At 41.3% G+C, this 19,221-nt stretch overlaps 1 protein-coding gene across 5 annotated transcripts in view, besides 1 other annotated feature; it reads left to right on the top strand.

The window, feature by feature from the left end:
• Nucleotides 1–19,221, top strand: part of KIF13A (kinesin family member 13A) — a 228,510-nt gene that overhangs the window by 7,726 nt on the left and 201,563 nt on the right. The window lies entirely within an intron of this gene.
• Nucleotides 2,950–3,510: an enhancer, noted in NCBI's record as "H3K27ac-H3K4me1 hESC enhancer chr6:17976631-17977191 (GRCh37/hg19 assembly coordinates)". NCBI's record gives its function as "activates a minimal SCP1, AML or CMV promoter by ChIP-STARR-seq in naive H9 embryonic stem cells {active_cell/tissue: H9 hESC(naive)}" and the evidence as "EXISTENCE:reporter gene assay evidence [ECO:0000049][PMID:30033119]".

Genomic DNA, 19,221 nt, shown 5'->3' with positions numbered 1-19,221 from the left:
GTCTTTTTGTCCTACCTTTTGACAGATTTCCTCCACTACATCTTACAAGCCTTATGTTTAATCCTTATGTTTAATTTTTTGTTTCTGCTATCACATTTTTAATTTTCAAGAACTCTTTTTTTAGTCTCTCTTTTTTTTTTTTCAAACCATCTTATTCTTGTTTCTTGGTTGTGGTATCTTCTCTGAGGACATTAATGATAATTTTCTCCATATAGTCTGCTTTTTGTTTTCTCCCTAAAGCACATTGTTTTGTTTGTTTGTTTTGGTATATTTTATGTTAAGGACATCTCTCAGATATAACTGTATCTCACCTAAACTCTGAGGTTTCTCCAGGGCAAGGACTATACATGATTTATCTTTGTGTTCTCAGTGCTTAGATTCAAGAATGCCCCACACACCAAAAGCATTTTGTAAATTCTCTTTGCAGTTACTATTATTATTAAAAGCTTTTGTCAAATCCCTTTTCTATTGAACTTCCAACAATAAAAGCAATAATTTTCTTTTTCTTAAGAACATCGATGAATGCTAGAATTGAAGGTAGTAGCTACTGTAGACAACTCAGTTACCCACATTCATAAGGATAGTTTGTTAATACAAAAAGCTGGAAATTTTTTTTTTAGATGGAGTCTCGTTCTGTCGCCTAGGCTGGAGTGCAGTGGCACAATCTGGACTCACTGCAACCTCTGCCTCCCAGGTTCAATCGATTCTTGTGCCTCAGCCTTCCAAGTAGCTGGGACTACAGGTGTGCACCACCACGCCTGGCTAATTTTTGTATTTTTAGTAGGCATGGGGTTTCGCTGCATTGGTCAGGCTGTTCTCAAACTTCCGGCCTCAAGTGGCCTCCAGGTGCACCCTCCTTGGCCTCCCAAAGTGCTGGGATTACAGGCGTGAGCCACCATACCCAGCTGGAAAATTTTTTAAAATCATACTTTTTGCATCACTGTTAAAGTTATTTGGTGTAACATTTAAAAAGGTGTATGCCATATTATTATATCTTTTGTATCACATATTTTCAGAATAGTACCAAAATAGCTAGTTTATCATCCCTCTACTTAACTCAGCTTCCGGTGGTGAAATCCAGCTAGAAATAGTGGAAAACTTGAATTGTCTTCCATTTTCAATAAAATTGCACATGCCATATACTCATATTTTTAAGAAAATTTACAGGAACAAGTTTCCCTCAAATAGTAAACATTCTGCAGATATCAGTTTATTGGACTAATCCAACTAAAGTTACCCTTTCTCAAATCTTCCCTGGAAGAAGAGCAGAGAAGATGTTTATATGTTTAAAATTTAAAGAAATTTTCTGAATATTACCTGCAAAGGAAACAGAATAGCAGAGAAATAAACAAGACATTCCGAAACACTTGGTGAGATTACTTTGTACCTTGGCATATAAGAAATTCAGTTTATTAATGTCAGAGCTATCAACAAAGGATGTAATGGAAATGCTAAAATTTAGATGAAAACAGGTATTAAAACAAGAGTTGATTTATGTGAGATCCAGGAGTTATCTTTTCAAAAAAGACCACTCTACAAAATATTTCTGGATATTTAGACATGCAAATGTTAAGAAGAAATTCCTCCTTGGAAATTAGTTTATTTGGTGTTTTACCACTCAACAACTAGGTGAAAACTAAATAAAAACAAAATAAAGTTTTCACATCTCTTTGTAAAATTTTATTTGTGAAAAATGTATAATTCTTGTATTCGATTGTAGACCTAAGATTAAAAAGGAAAAGTAGAGAGGAGAATCCTCCTAGACTCACAGGACTAGAAAGACCTGATATTTCACCAGTCCAAGCCCCCTCATTTGATTGAATCCAGTGTTAATTTCATGTTACTGTGAGATTAACAATTCGGTGAGTCATTGATCAAGTAGGACTATTTTATCAAATTATGCTTGCAGTGTACTTTTCATGTCAAAGCGCAATCGTATCTTTTTTAAAAGTTGCATTGTTAGACACTCTAAAATGTTTTTGCACAGGTAACTTTGTAAGAAACGTGACAGAAACAAAAAAGAATCATTGTCCTACCAAGCTTAACAAATCAGTTATTCTGGGAGGGAAAGCATTAGGAAATATACCTAATGTAAATGACGAGTTAATGGGTGCAGCACACCAACATGGCACATGTATACAATATGTAACAAATCTGCACGTTGTGCACATGTATCCTAGAACTTAAAGTATAATTTAAAAAAATTAAAAACAAATAAAAACAAATCAGTTATTCTTATTTTTCCTCTACCTTTATTTTGTCCTTGCCCATGTAATACAAATATTTGCTGTTGCAATTGTGTTTTGCTTTTCTCCCACTTACATTTCGTTATGCTACAAATAGTCATAGTCATAGTTTTCACATTTATAATTTTAAAAATTGAATAGTCTCTTGAATTTTTAATCATTTCTATATTTTTGGGCCTTACAGTTGTTTCTCTTAGAGATTACAAATAAGAGCATCTTCATGAAACATTTTAGTGCCCTTGGCTTACTAGTTGAAAGGCATTTCTTCTCATGATTGCCAGCACAAAAATACATCTTTGCAATTGTATGACAACGTGAACTATTCTCTTACATTATAGTGAAGATAAAAGTTGATAATTTCCATATTTAAGTATGAGAGACGACATGGTAAAAATGATTTTGTATGGGCAGTAGTAACAAGATGGGTGGTATTCAAACTTGAATGTGCATCAGAATCACCTGGAGGGCCCCACCCTGACATGTTCTGATTTGGTAGGTCTAGGGTGGAGCCTGGGAATGTGCATTTCTTTTTTTTTTTTTTTTTTTTTTGTTGTTGTTTTTTGAGACGGAGTCTCGCTCTGTTTCCCAGGCTGGAGTGCAGTGGCGCAGTCTCGGCTCACTGCAAGCTCTGCTTCCCGGGTTCACGCCATTCTCCTGCCTCAGCCTCCCGAGTAGCTGGTACTACAGGCGCCCGCCACCACACCCAGCTAATTTTTTTATATTTTTAGTAGAGACAGGGTTTCACCATGTTAGCCAAGATGGTCTCGATCTCCTGACCTCGTGATCCACCCACCTTGGCCTCCCAAAGTGCTGGGATTACAGGTGAGCCACCACACCCAGCCTCTTTTTTTTTTTTTTTTTTGAGATGGAGTCTTGCTCTGTTGCCCAGGATAGAGTGCGGTGGCGTGATTTTGAGAGGTGACAGCGTGCTGGCAGTCCTCAGAGCCCTCGCTCGCTCTCGGCGCCTCCTCTGCCTGAGCTCCCACTTTGGCGGCACTTGAGAAGCCCTTCAGCCCACCGCTGCACTGTGGGATCCCCTTTCTGGGCTAGCCGAGGCCAGAGCCGGCTCCCTCAGCTTGCAGGGAGGTGTGGAGGGAGAGGCGCGAGCGGGAACCGGGGCTGCGCGCCGCGCTTGCGGGCCAGCTGGAGTTCTGGGTGGGCGTGGGCTTGGCGGGCCCCGCATTCGGAGCAGCCAGCCGGCCTTGCCGGCCCCGGGCAATGAAGGGCTTAGCACCCGGGCCAGCGGCTGCGGAGGGTGTACTGGGTCCCCCAGCAGTGCCGGCCCACCGGCGCTGCGCTCGATTTCTCGCCGGGCCTTAGCTGCCTTACAGCGGGGCAGGGCTCGCGACCTGCAGCCCGCCATGCCTGAGCCTCCCACCCGCTCCGTGGGCTCCTGTGCAGCCCGAGCCTCCCTGACGAGCGCCGGCCCCTTCTCCACCGCGCCCAGTCCCATCGACCACCCAAGGGCTGAGGAGTGCCGGCGTGAGAGTGGCAGGTAGCTCCACCTGCAGCCCCGGTGCGGGATCCACTGGGTGAAGCCAGCTGGGCTCCTGAGTCTAGTGAGGATGTGGAGAAGCTTTATGTCTAGCTCAGGGACTGTAAATACACCAATCGGCATTCTGTATCTAGCTCAAGGTTTGTAAACATACCAATCAGCACCCTGTGTCTAGCTCAGGGTTTGTGAATGCACCAATCGACACTGTATCTAGCTACTCTGGTGGGGCCTTGGAGAACCTTTATGTCTAGCTCAAGGATTGTAAATACACCAATCGGCACTCTGTATCTAGCCCAAGGTTTGTAAACACCAATTAGCACCCTATGTCTAGCTCAGGGTTCGTGAATGCACCAATTGACACTCTGTATCTAGCTACTCTGGTGGGGCCTTGGAGAACGTTTGTGTGGACTCTGTATCTAGCTAATCTAATGAGGACGTGGAGAACCTTTGTGTCTAGCTCAGGGATTGTAAACGCACCAATCAGCGCCCTGTCAAAACAGACCTCTGGGCTCTACCAATCAGCAGGATGCGGGTGGGGCCAGATAAGAGAATAAAAGCAGGCTGCCCGAACTAGCGGCAGTAACTTGTTCGCGTTTTGTTCTGTACTGGAAGCTTTTTTTTCTTTTGGTCTTTGCAATGAATTATGTTGCTGCTCCCTTTTTGGGCCTACATTGTCTTTATAAGCTGTAACGCTCACCGCTGAAGGTCTGTAGCTTCACTTTTGTAAGCTAGCGAGATCACGAACCCACCAAAAGGAAAAAACTCCAGACGCGCCAACTTAAGATTTGTAATATTCATTGTGAGGGTCCGCAGCTTCATTCTTGAAGTTAGTGAGACCAAGAACCTACTAATTCGGAACACAGTCTCAGCTCATTGCAACCTTCACCTCCCAGATTCAAACAATTCTCCTGCCTGAGCCTTCCGAGTAGCTGGGATTACAGAAACCTGCCACCCCGCCTGCTAGTTTTTTTTTATTTTTTTATTTTTAGTAGAGATAGGGTTTCACTATGTTGGCCAGGCTGGCCTTAAACTGCTGACCTCAAATGATCTGCCCTCCTCTTTCTCTCAAAGTTCTGGGATTACAGGTGTGAACCACTGCGCCCAGCTGGGAATGTGCATTTCTAACAAGTTCCCAGGTGATGGCTGATGCTGGTAGCTTGGGACCAAGCTTTGAGAACTAGTCTAGACCAGCACTGTCCAATAGAACTTCCTGAGATGATGGAAATATGCTATATCTTCACTGTCCAATGTGGTAGCCAGTAGCCCTATGTGATCATTGAATACTTGACATGTGGTTATGATCAAGGAATTTAACTTTTATTTTCATTGATTTAAACAGCTATATGTGGCCAGTGCATTAAGCAACATGGATGTGGACTTTGGTTCTCAACCTTAGCTGCACCACAGAATTTCCTGGGATGCTTTAAAAATAGATGGTTGGGTCCCAGACCCAGAGATTCTCACTTAATTGGGCTGTAGTGCACCTTGGACACTAGGATTTTTTTTAAAAAAGCTTCCCAGGTGTCCCAGTTACTATTGTTGCTTAACTACTCTAAAACTTAGTGGTCTAAAAAAAACTCCATTTTACTAATACCCATGAATTCTGTAGGTTAGGAATCTGAACAGGGCAAAGTACATATGACGTGTCTTTGCTCCACAGTGTCTGGGGGTATAGCCATCCAAAGGTTTGACCAGGTTGAATGCCCAAGACTTAACGCACATGGTTGGCTGTTGATTCTCATGTGTGGCCAAGGTTGAAAACCGTCGGTCTAGTATAGTAAACGAGGTTCCCGCCGGGCGCAGTGGCTCAAGCCTGTAATCCTAGCACTTTGGGAGGCCGAGGTGGGCAGATCATGAGGTCAGGAGTTCCAGACCAGCCTGGCCAACATGGTGACACCCCATCTCTACTAAAAATACAAAAAAGCCGGGCATGTTGGCGTGTGCCTGTAATCCCAGCTACTCAGGAGGCTGAGGTAGGAGAATCGCTTGAACCCGGGAGGTGGAGGTTGCAGTGAGCTGAGATCACGCCATTGCACTCCAGCTTGGGTGACAGAGCAAGACTCCGTCTCAAAAAAATAAAAATAAAAAACCAGGTTCCTAACATAAGGACTCTCTAAACAGATGTATTTAATTAAAGTGCATCTTGCTATTTGTTTTTACTTGAATTACATTAGAGGGGAAAGAATTACCTAACTTATCTAAATGCAAAGTACTTGCCTATCCTTCACCTGATACCAACTTGTTAGAAGGCACAGGTTCTTTCTAAGCTTTCTGGTTTGAGAGTTGTGGGCTCCAGTTCCCTGTTTCCAGTCCTGTAATGATGTGACAATTCTAGCAAAGCCATGGGGACCACATCCATGCAGAGGCTCCGATCTGGGCTATGGAGCAGCAGCATGGCACAGTGAACTGTGAGACGTCTGGGTGCCATCTGATTCTGCCACTGACTTGGTCTGCTTCTTTGAGATAGCTGTTGATCCTTTTGCAGCTAGGTTTCTTCATCTGTAAAATTGAGGGCTGGACTAGATAGTCTGTAAGGGTTTTTTTTTTCTTTAAGTTGTAATGTTCAGATTTATCCCAACGGTACTTTGAGAGTTGAGTTAAATAGAGTAAGTAGGTAACATTTATAGGAGCTGAAATACATTGCATTTTAATTTACTTCTTGGCCAGGGTGTTAGGTGAACTGAAGAGGACAGGGTCACCATTCTTGGGAGGTTTGGTTTGCACGCAGTAGCTGATACGAGAATGGAAGGTGTCAAATGAAATAAAGCAGCAGCATGAAGTCGTTATCAGCTAGCTGAGAATCCTGGATTCCTTACAGACATTCTACATACCTCCTTTGCCTGTGTCTGCAGAACATTATAACAAAATCATCTGATTTGAATCTTTTAATTAGTAGTCATCTTATATAGTTGTGTTCTTTGTGGGATCCAGTGATTTTTAAGCTGTTCTTAAAGGTATACAGCTGTTTTATGCAACAAGTGTATATATGTGTGGGAGTGGAGAAATGACATTTATTGTTGGTTTAGAACTTCCTTGGGCATCGTGTTTTGTTTCTGAGGATTCTGCTGCAACCCTACCAAACTCCAGTTCATCTCCAATATTTCCTATCTTCCACTGTGGGATGAACTCAGGTTAGTGTGTCTGTGTCTCTGGTTTATGCCCTCTTCCCCTTTCTTTCAAAAGCAAAGTGGTTATTGATTCCATGGGGCTCTTCAGGGTCTGGTCTGTGGGCTTGATGAACTGGCTGCTGTTAGAAGAGGCTTGAGGGAAACCTCTGTTTGTAGTTCCCTTAGGGGAAAAAGTTTGGAGCCTTGTTTTTTTTTTTTTTTTTTTTTCTCACTCTCTCTCAAAGACAAGGAACAGGAAGGAAGCCTTTGAGGAAAGGGAAGCTTTGCTCTTTACTGTTGGCCCTTTGTATTGTCTTGGGGAGACACTCCCTAGACTGCACACCCACCACAAATGACCATAAATATTTCTGTATCTCAAGCTGGAGCCTCAGGAAAACCAGAAAGCGCAAAACGACGAACTGCATAGGCATCTGTTGCGAGTGTTGAAAAGATCTGTCCCGGATTTTGGAAGGGCCACATTCAATAAATCCACATGTAGTTTGTTGAACAGATTAACAAGCCTTTAAACATACTTACATTCTGTTCTAGGGTTTAATAAAACAAGTCCTCAGAATTGATGCCTTTGGCGCCCACCTATTTTCCCAGCTAAAGAGAGAATGTGTAAAGATTTATAGCTGAGCTTGCAGTTGTAATTGGACCTTTGTAAGGTTTTTAAATGAAATACTGTTTTTGGTTTTGTTTTGCCTTTTTGCTCTCTACTTCTATTCATACAGTTAATTAAAGTTTAGTATTCACTATGCAAATTGTAACAGGGAATGGTTACATTATGACATTGAGAAAGATCCTTAAAATTACTTGTTTCAAGGATAATGTTTTGAATAAAGAGGAAGGAGGATAGTAGTGGGGAAGGTTTATCAAGATAACGGTGTTAAATTTGAGCAGCCTTATCCACTTTTAAGCATCTCCTTTTGAATCTAGACTTACAAAGAGTTACAGTACAAATAGGTAACATTAGCATGGTAATATCGCTTTAAGTTTTTTGAAGCCTTGAAGTATTGTTGGCTTTGATGGAATAGTATTCTTCTTTCTAGGATTACAGCCTAGTCTACATTTTTATGATGAATTATGCATTGGAAATAGTGTTCAAAAATTGCTGGTCTACTGTAATCCTAGGGACATTTTTTTTAAGCTCTCTAGCTAGATTATTATTTAACTAGTTTTGGTTTTTTTCCCTCCAAGAGTGACTGTTAGCTGCCCTTGCTCATTGGTTCTCAGACTTAAGGATTTTTAAAAAACAGTAGAAATAAAAATTTGGATAAACAGAGAGTTCCCAGCCTCTTTTAAATATGCCGAGTAATCACACTAAAACAAGAGCAAGCCGGACGTGGTGACTCACTCCTGTAATCCCAATTCTTTGGGAGGCAGAGGTGGGAGGATCGCTTGGGCCCAGGAGCTTGAGACCAGCCTGGGCAACATGACAAAACCCCATCTCTACAAAAAATAGAAAAATTAGCTGGGTGTGGTAGTAGTGCTCACTTGTAGTCCCAGCTACTTGCAGGGCTGAAATGGGAGGATCACTTGAATGCAGAAGGTCTAGGCTGCAGTGAGCCATGATTACACCACTGCACTCCAGCCTGGGCGACAGAGTGAGACCCTGTGTCAAAAAAAAAGGAAAAAAACAAACCGCTACTAAATTTTAATATTTTATTATAAAATAGAGGTCAGCTTAACACCAGAATAGGAGAAAGGACATAATCTCAGAATTTAAAACTTGGATACATTTAATTTTGTGAAGTGATCACATTAATTATCTCTTTTCCTGGAAATTGATGGAAATACCACCATAGCTATGTGAACTCTGAACTGTGAAGTACAGTTAGGTGTCCCTGGTGTGTGCGATGTCTAATAGTACATCAGCTATTGGAGTTCTGAGGATCTTGGGTCCTTCAGGCCAGATCATACTAAGAATCATTAAAGGATATTTTCCCTTAAAAATTGACCAGTCTCTGTTATTTGTATGTAGACTGAATTTTTTGAGTGGTAGCCTACATCTTTGTTTTTGTATTTTGATGTATTGAAATAACCTCACCAATCTTTTTAAAAGCCGAAATAAAATTGAAATTTGTAAAAGTGTTGTAAATTACTTTGTCTCTGAGCTGCAGCTTTTCCCTTGGAAATCTCTTATTTGCTTTTTGCACTGTTTTGATAGATACCTGTTGAGTATAAATAAGTAGTTTTGTAAAGCACTATCAAGTGTTGTAGCCAAGAGTGTGCTCTTTGGAGACAAACTGCTCAGGTGAATGGATATAAGGCTTTTAAGTGGTTATAACCTATGTCTGTTCAGTACTCCTATCTGAGCCTATCACTAACATCCCTAGAAAGAATTCAGTAAGAGGATTAGGGAAAAGGAGGTGCATGTCATTAACACTCATGGCCAGGCCTATCCAGGACGCAGATATTTAAGTCAAATATTGCATTAAGATTAATAAAGAAGGGGGTTAGGGGAGAAAAGAAAAGGAAAGAGAAAAGAAAACTACCTGGTAATTGAAGCAGGCAAATTGCTGGAAGCATGTAAGCGATCTGAAATCTAGTTACTTTCACACTGCCATTGGATCTCCTCTCTCAGCATCCTGATATATATATATAATTTTTGTATTTTTAGTAGAGACAGGGTTTCACCATGTTGACCAGGCTAGTCTCAAACTCCTGGCCTCAAGTGATCCCCACCGCCTTGGCCTACCAAAATTTTGGGATTACAGGCATGAGTCACCATGCCCGGCCTGCTTTTATGTATTTCTATACACAAAAACTTAAATTGAATAAATGGATCAAAAACTGTTCTAAGAAAGCATGCATGAATCCCTTATTTAAGAAAACACGGCCGGGCGCGGTGGCTCACGCCTGTAATCCCAGCACTTTGGGAGGCTGAGGCGGGCGGATCACGAGGTCAGGAGATCGAGACCATCCCAGCTAACACGGTGAAACCCTGTCTCTACTAAAAATACAAAAAATTAGCCGGGCGTGGTGGCGGGCGCCTGTAATCCCAGCTACTTGCGGGGCTGAGGCAGGATAATGGCGTGAACCCGGGAGGCAGAGCTTTCAGTGAGCCGAGATCGCGCCACTGCACTCCGGCCTGGGTGAAAGAGCGAGACTCCGTCTCAAAAAAAAAAAAAGAAAACACAAGTAAATACACAGGCATTTAGGTTTGTATGGTATATTTTAAAACTTTTTAAAAGAAAATAATAAATTCAAAGGAAACTAGAATGCTTCTGTTAAATATCCTAAATATATTTTCCAAATTTTAGTGGGTCAGTAAATGAATGCCAAAAACCAAAAGATTTCCCAAGTAAACAGTTCTGGGGTAAAATATATTCATGTAAGGGATGCCAGAGAACCAGATATGCAAGTAAAAATATTTCTCTATTCTGAATTTTAACAGAGAAGCCCTCAAGTTCATCCTCTCCAGGATGGTAAACCCTGGAACAAGAGTCCCCAGCATAAGTATGGGGATAATAAAGTCAGTTGCCTCAGGAAGAAAAATAAAAGTATAGAAACCTAATATTATTGAACACAGTGTGTCACTAGCTTCAGCCAGTCATTTCCTCAGAAATCATTTACGACTAAGTAGTATTGGCAGTCTATGAATCCCCTATGCTAACTAAAGCCTAGTAACTTTATATCCAATTAATATAAATATAATTAAGTAGTACAACAAACATTTAGTGAGTATATACTATGTCTAAGATGGCAAAGGGCCAGCCCCCAATAACTAGAGTACAAAGCAGAAGATATCACGATTGGAGGTAGAGCCTCCAGCCGTGTGGTCAAAACTTATTGCTCTGAATAAAGACAGTGACCAGTTCAATGTCCGTGAAGAATCTGTACAAATGGCTTATCATACCCTCTAGACTGCAAACTCCTTGAGAGCAGAGCCCCTTGTCTTATTTGTCTTTTGTTTCTTCCCTCTTCCTTTCTCGAAGCAGCTGGCACATGCCTTGTACATAGTAAGTGCCTTGGATGTTTCATTTCCTGTACTGCCAGAGCTATACACCCAGAGGTGGTGTGTGGTCCCAGACTGGATGAGTGGACCCTACACCAACCTGATGTAGATGTTTTATAGTTGAATATAATGAAAGATATGGATATAGACTTTTATTATAAGAGCTGTGCCTAGGTAGATGAGTCTGTGGGTAGAAAGTCCTCAGGTTGTGTCTGTCACATCACTGGTGGTTCTAGTGCTTCTAGTCTGGGCCCTCTGAGACCTCTAATTTCTGCATTAAATTGTTACATAATGATAGCCTTTGTGCTGTCATGTGGCTTTTGGGGGTAATGGCAGTACAAATGTAGCTCTGGACCCTTACAGCTTTGGCTGCTACTGCCTTTGGCTGACAGGCAGAGGCTGTAGCTGCTTAGGACTACATGAGATAAGTAATGGTTGGTCCAGCCAGGAGGTCACCAGTCTTTGACAAAGTTCACATTTTTAATGTTCACTGCACAACCTATGGAGCAGCATTAGCTGCAGATTCTATGCAGGTAACTAGTGGAAGAGAATTCTATCCTAGGCAAAGTTGTGAGGTCGGGATGTTTCATTTCCTGTACTGCCAGAGCTATACACCCAGAGGTGGTGTGTGGTCCCAGACTGGATGAATGGACCCTACACCAACCTGATGTAGTTGGGCATTCTTGTGAGTCAGCATGAGAAGCTGTTCCTCCTGTTGTCATAGGGAGAGAGGACTGGAGTGAAAGAATTGAGAGAAAGGAGAGGTACTGGTAGATTGCCAGGGCCTCTTCCTCCAGCTCCACCTGGAGTCCATTGCCTGTGAATCTGGGACAGCCCTGTGAGTGGCAGGGCTGCTGGCCTGCTTACTCTTCTTTCTCCTGGTGAGTAAGCGGGGATCTCTGGGTTCTTCTCGTTCTCTGGTTCCTAATTGGCCATTGGGTTGATGCTGCAGCTTCTGCTTACTCTTGTGGCAGTTTTCAACATTTTTTTGTTCCCCACTGCAGCACACATGTCAAATAATATGCCTACGTTTGTCAGTCCCCCAGGGGTTCTCAGCATTGTGGGCAATTCTCAGTATGCCGTCCAAGAATGTACATTGGAATGGAAGTCATGTGAAAATGGCAGTCTACAGGGGATAGCTTTGAACCTGTTTTTATTTATATTTTTAAATAAGCCATTTGCAGGCTTTATTAAGCATTTATTAAGACCTTCACAGACTTTATTAAGTAAGCTTTTACAGACTTACTTAATGAGCACCTTATTAACAAGTTACTTGTGATGCATCTCACAGTGATTGTCAAACATCAGCGGGTCCTAGTCCCATGGTTGAGCCTTCTTGGTTCAGAAATCAGAGCAGGAAGGCAGATGGCTCAGTGGCTGGGCAGTTGGGAGCAGGAGGAAACCTAACACTGCAGGTCTTTCCTTTGGAGAGTAAAAGATGGGGAGCAGCTTATACAAAGTTGTTGCTGATAGCAGTCTGTGTGTGGGGGCATCATGACTATGGAAATGGATAACCAGGCATCTCTGCTCCTGACACGTGCAGTCTTCCAGAAAGACTTCGGATAGTTTTCTCTGCCCTAGAGAAGTTTAGTTTTCCATCCTTGAGTGATTGAGCATAAGATGAGTTCTCTCTTTCTTTATTCATAAGAACTTTGTTTTTAATATAGCTTTTTTCTAATTATAAATGTGATGCCCATTCACTGTTGAACACTTTGAAAATATAAGATATTAGAGGTAAAATACAGTTTACTCATTCTTTTAACATTGTGATGCATTTTCCTTTTTCTGTGCTTGGTAGTTTATACCACTGAGTGAATAACTACTGAGTTTTTAAGATTATGAAAACACAGCAATTGCATATTGCCTTGAGGCGGTAGCACTATCTAAAAATTTACAGCACTAGGTTCAGCTGAATGTTTAGTCCAAGACAAAGTTCTGCCTTGTTGAAATTTTCTGTTTTGCTTTATCTTTAACATTTTCCTTCACCAAAGTTTTTATCTCCTCGGATTACTTTTCCCCTGAGAAAGTGCATAATACCAAAAGGGAATAGAGTGTCTACTAAATCAAGTTAGGTACTGCTGGAATATTTGGTATTTTCTTTCCCTAATTAAGGAAGCAGTATTAGGAGCATTACCTCTGGAGTCCAGGTTCCCTCAGCCTGGACCTGCACTTCCCAGCTGGGTGATTTTGGGCACGCTGCTTAACCTCACTGTGCTTTAATTTCCAACTTCATGTAAAATAAATAATACGCTTTGAGTATTTACAGCAAATACTCAAAAAATGTTAGATATTTTTCTTAGTGTGTGTTATTATTGTTCGTGCAATAATAAGAATCATAAGACAGAAGGATGAAGCTGAAGTAGTGAGACACATAATGATGTTAACAATAAAAACAATTTTTGATACATTTCTCAAAACTATCTGATGGGAAGGATGTGGTCAAGTGAATCCATACCGATCCATGTTGAAACCATCAAGCACTGTGTTGTGTTGGGATTAGATCTAGGAGACACTCTATATTTATTCACCCCTCCTTTCTTGTTAGTGCTCAGATTGTCATACTTGACCATTAAAAGTCTTCTAAATCATGGGTTTTTTTTTTTTTTCAGAACTTTTGAAAGAATCCTGCTCACTGTCAAAAAAAAAAAAAAAAAAAATTCAGAGTCTTGAATATTAACTGTTTCAAGATATTAAGTCCCTTTAGAGGAAAAGGACATTAGAGACAAATTCTAATGGGTATACTAGGGTATTCTCATGGGTACTAAGGTTGCTATGTTAGGCCACTTTAGAGATGGAAATAAAAATAAAATAAAAAATAGCACACATAAAAAATAACGCATACATACACATAATTTTTATGAGTTGACTTTGACAATTTTCATTTTAGCCTTACTTTTGGTTTGTTTTGAGACAGAATCTCACTCTGTCACCCAGGCTGGAGTGCAGTGACACAATCTTCGCTCACTGCAACCTTTGCCTCCCGGGTTCAAGCAATTCTCATGCCTCAACCTCCTCACTAGCTGGAATTATAGGCACACGCCATCACATCCAGCTAATTTTTGTATTTTTAGTAGAGATGGGGTTTTGCCATATTGGCCAGGCTGGTCTCAAACTCCTGACCTCAAGTGAACTCCTAACCTCAAGTGATCCGCCTGCCTCAGCCACCCAAAGTGCTGGGATTACAGGCGTGAACCACCACGCCCGGCCCCATTTTAGCCTTACTTTTATCCAACCACCTACTTATTTGAGAAATAAATAAAGATTGTACGTCTTTTTAATTTTACAAGCAAATAATTTGATGAGTTTGTGGTTATTCCTTAATCTAAAATTATGACTAAAGATAATGTGTTATCTATCACCAAAAAGACAAACATAAATTAACAAGGTCAAGATCAACCCTGTTAATAAAGCCACTGGATAAGTAATGAGATTTAACATCACACATATCTTTATTGCTATGCTCTGAAAACATCTCACTAATGAAGCACAGTTAAATTGCTTTGTTTTGAGTCACTTGTAATAATTTATTTTCCTTCCTGCTGCTAAAAAGAGAATGGAACTTTTGACTCAGTAAAAGCTATGTGAAATCTTGTAAGGATTGGAGAACCATTTCTGCATGTGAACTCTGAGTTTCTCTCAATAATTATTGAAATACTGGTTATTAAAATGGTCTGTAGGAGATTTGAATCATATACAACAAAAGCCTTATTCATCTCTACCTATGATATTTCATATTTGAATACTATTCTTAGTAAAGTTCTAGATGGTTTGTATGGCTAGATGGTTGTATGGAAACAACACTTATTTATCACCTAAGTAAATTTGCAGACAGAACATAGCTAAAGATTAAATATGATTAGGATATCTAAACATGATACTAAGAACAATTAGAGAAAATTAATCCAGACTTCTTGGAAAGCTTGTAACCTTTTCATTTGGGACACATGTGTTTCCTTTGATTTTTAAAATCCTGGCCCGGTGCAGTGGCTCATGCCTTAATCTCAGCGCTATGGGGAGGCCAAGGTGGGCAGATCACTTGAGGCCAGGAGTTTGAGACTAGCCTGGCCAACATGGTGAAACCCCATCTCTACTAAAAATATTATTTAAAAAAATTAGCTGGGTGTGGTGGCAGGCGCTTGTAATCCAGCTACTCGGGAGGCTGAGGCGGGAGAATCGCTTGAACCAGGGAGTCAGAGGTTGCATTGGGCCGAGATCACACCACTACACTCCAGCCTGGCGACAGAGCGAGACTCAGTCTCAAAAAAACAAAACAACAAGAAAACCACAAAACTTTCAGAATTCTAAAAACATTGACCTGGGTTATCTGGGATAAAATCAAAACAACTGTGAAGCTCTACTGACCTAAGCCCATGAAAAATTTGCCAGACTAGTATCATTTTTGTCCAATTGTCTATGTTATTTCAAAAAAAAATTCTTTAAACTTCTGTCTTTCTCTTCGAGAAAGCAGCATTGGTGCATGCTTATTTTGATAGGATTCCACCTACACTTTCTTCCTCACCGACATTTTCTACTGTTTTTATAAAGTAGATAACACTGACTTTTCTACTGATTTTTATAAATTTGATTTACTTATATTTTATCCAATGATTGGGTTTAGTACTTATTTTAATTTTTGCTTTCTAAATATATATATATATTTGAGGGCAATAGAGAATAAAGTACAATTACTTGATGTCAACCTTTGAGAACCACAGACAAGATTTATTACAACATCCTTTTAGGCCAGTGAATGATCACAGCTTGTAAAAAGTAGAAACTTGGGCTTTTCTGATTATCAGTTATATTTTTCAAGGGTGTTTGTTTTATAAGAATTAGGGCGATGGCTACGATATGAGCTGCTGTAAGAGAAGGAAGAGAGTTGATGGAGCTGATTTACTCTAAACTGAATAATTAGTTCTTGGCTAATATACTTTAAAATTAACCTTATTGAGAGGTGTGGGTGTGTGTGGGTGTGGGTGTTCAGAGACAGGGTCTCACTCTGTCACCCAGACTGGAGTGCAGTGGCATCATCATAGCTCACTGTAACCACGAACCTCCTGGAATCAAGCTATCCTCCTGCCTGAGACTTCCAAAGTGCTGGAATTACAAGCATGACCCATTGTGCCTAGCTGAGGTGTAAATTTATCTACGATAAAATGCACCCATTTTAAGGGTACACTTTCTTGAGTTTTTACAGTTGCATATGCCTGATTAACCACTATCACCATTAAGATATAGAACATATTGGCCAGGCATGGTGGCTCACGCCCGTAATCCCAACACTTTGGGAGGCTGAGGTGGGCGGATCACAAGGTCAGGAGTATGAAACCAGCTTGGCCAACATGGTGGAACCCTGTCTCTACTAAAAATGCAAAAATTAGCAGGGCGTGGTGGCGCGTGCCTGTAATCCCAGCTACTTGGGAGCCTGAGGCAGGGGAATCGTTGGAACCCAGGAGGCGGAGGTTGCAGTAAGCTGCGATCACGCGCAGCACTCCAGCCTAGGCGACACAGCAAGACTCTGTCTCAAAAAAAGAAAGATATAGAACAAATCTATCCTACAAATCTCAAATCTCTTGGGGCCCTTTTGTGGTCATCGGTAATATATTTCTTCATATTGTAAGACCTTATCTATCCATGTTACTTCACATGATGCTCTTCTATTTTTATTTATTTATTTTTTTTGAGTTGGAGTTTTGCTCTTGTTGCCCAGGCTAGAGTGCAACGGCACGATCTTAGCTCACTGCAGCCTCTCCCTCCCAGGTTCAAGTGATTCTCCTGCGTCAGCCTCCCGAGTAGCTGGGACTACAGGCGCCCGCCACCATGCCCAGCTAATTTTTGTATTTTTAGTAGAGACGGAGCTTCGCCATGTTGGCCAGGCTGGTCTTGAACTCCCCACCTCAGGTGATCCGCCCACCTCGGCCTCCCAAAGTGCTGGGATTACAGGCATGAGCCACCGCACCCAGCCTTTCACATGACACTCTTACTCCCTCACCTCACTTCCATTGGTCACAACATTTAAAGGGAAGCAAAATTATTTGATGACTAGACCTGCTGGTTATGTAATTATAATCATATAGGATAAACAATTATCTTTATGCACTTTGAGTTTACAGTGTAGTGGGGGAGGGGACAGACAGATCTGAGTCTAACGGGCTGAATCAGATGCATCTGAGTAAGAAACTTTGGGGCTGGCTGATAACATCAGTTTGATTCTATTCATTGCATTGTCATTAATAAGCCAGAACTAATTGGAGAAATAAAATTTGAGTCAAGCATGAGGAAGATTCCAATTAAATGGAAAGGTGTAGATTGGCTGTGTTACACCTCCAATGTATGGAAGCTCAGAGGAAAGGGAGAGAGAGAGAGAGGACCACAGGAATTTGTCTGGCCAGAGTAGATATAACAGAAGTACTCTGTGGTTGAGCTGCCTCCGGGTGCCTGTGGATGTTGTCCAGACTCAGCCTTACTTGCACACAGCCCCCACACCAGCATCAGCTGTTCCTGAGGGCAGGGCCGGTACAGATGGTTGTGTCCTGCCCCACCCTCTTTCAAGTGGAGCCTCTCTGGCTGCTGCCTCTTCCTGGCTGTGCTCATCTCTGTGGTCCGTGTCATCTGTTCCCTCCGTTGCTACTTGCCTGCACAAATTTTCTCCTCGCTCTGCTTTTTTAACGGTCTCCCTTATGACTTATTGCTTCTTCTCCTCAGCCTTTGCAGCAAAAGCTTGACCTTTTATGGACATTTCAAGCCTGTTCTTCAATTTATTACCATGTTTTTTTTTTCTTTGTTTTTTGAGACGGAGTCTTTCTCTGTCATCTAGACTGGAGTGCACTGGCGCAATCTCAGCTCGCTGCAACCTCCACCTCCTGGGTTCAAGTAGTTCTCTTGCCTCAGCCTCCCAAGTAGCTGGGATTACAGGCACGCCCCACCACGCCCAGCTAATTTTTGTATTTTTAGTAGAGATGGGGTTTCACCATGTTGGCCAGGTTGTTCACGTGATCCACGCGCCTTGGCCTCCTAAAGTGCTGGGACTACAGGCATGAACCACCACACCCAGCCTATTACCATATTTTCAGTGCACCTAAAATACCATCAATTATAAGACACATTGGTATGTAGGTGCCACACAAAAGAAAAACCATTGCCCGTTGAACTATTAAACCTTGATTGTCAAATGTATCCCAATTCTGAAATTTTAAGATGTGGAAAATAGACAATGTTGCCAACCAAACACTAAGCACCCTAGAATACAGAGGAACACAGGGCTTAGGTGAGAATAAGAGAAGAATTTGAAACTAGAGGTAAGACGCCTGGTGTGCGCTGCAGTCTATGTCGTTGCTGGAGGTGGACATCTTACTTGGCTGGAGGATCCTAGAAGCCCATGCAAACAGGAAAATAACTGTTATACAATTGTATATAAGAAGAAAACAAGCTAGTTGCTCAAAAAGAACATAGCTATTCTATTTACTAAGCCCTGGGTGAAGGATCTTTCTGTCCTTTTAGTGTTATTTAGAGAACAATATCTTCAATAACATCTCTACTATAAATACAGTCACTGGGCTGTTTTGTTTAATGTCAAATTTATGGTAGTCAGTTGGTAAAATATTAAAAGTTCAATTTGACTCTACATGGTCCAACCTAATTCGGGGAGAATATAAAGGGCTTACAATATGCTTGGTGCTTGTTGGGCCAATTTTGGGGTGGTTTTAGGTCCCTTTCATGCTGGGACATGATTTATTGCCTATCTTAATAACTTATTTATTATCCCACATCAGTTGCTACCTTCCACCTTTGGAATCCCAGCTCCTTTCCAGGTCCCCTTACCAGCCCACACTAGTGAAGTCCACCTCCTTGCCAAGTCCAGATCTCATTAAGCTGCACATCCCAGTTTCCACTTCCGTATTTTCTCCAGTTTGAAGTGCTCTTTTAGCCTCCTCTCTGCAAACTCACATTCATTGGTTCCTTTTGGATGTTTCAGCATACGTCTTCCTTTAAGAATCTTTCTCTGACCCTTGGCTTAACATTAAGCCCCTGTAATATTATGTAGATAATTTTAACCATATTTTTATGTACTTGTTAATCTGCTGTTTAATACTTTTTTGAACTGAAAGATGCTACGCTTCTTGAAAGGAGGCTTAGTTTCTCCTACTGTGGATCTTGAAAGGGGTCTAGTGCAGTGTTCGGTACTCAATTCGTGCTCAAAAACAATGAAAGAATGAATGATACGTTATACTGTGAATTCACTCCTTGATGACGAAGTCAGTAGGGGCTTCTTCCCAGCTCATTTCACTTTTACTTTGCTGTTTCTCCTGCACTACTATATGATAGACACCACAATTCTTTACATTCCTTTATTCTGCTGGGAATATACCTCTGAGGAATGACATATAAAAATATTTCTGAAACATTTAAAAC

Source organism: Homo sapiens, chromosome 6 (genome assembly GCF_000001405.40).
Source record: "Homo sapiens chromosome 6, GRCh38.p14 Primary Assembly".
NCBI lineage: Eukaryota > Metazoa > Chordata > Mammalia > Primates > Hominidae > Homo > Homo sapiens.
The sequence above is the reverse complement of the archived record's forward strand: the minus strand, read 5'-3'. Positions and strand labels throughout refer to the sequence as shown.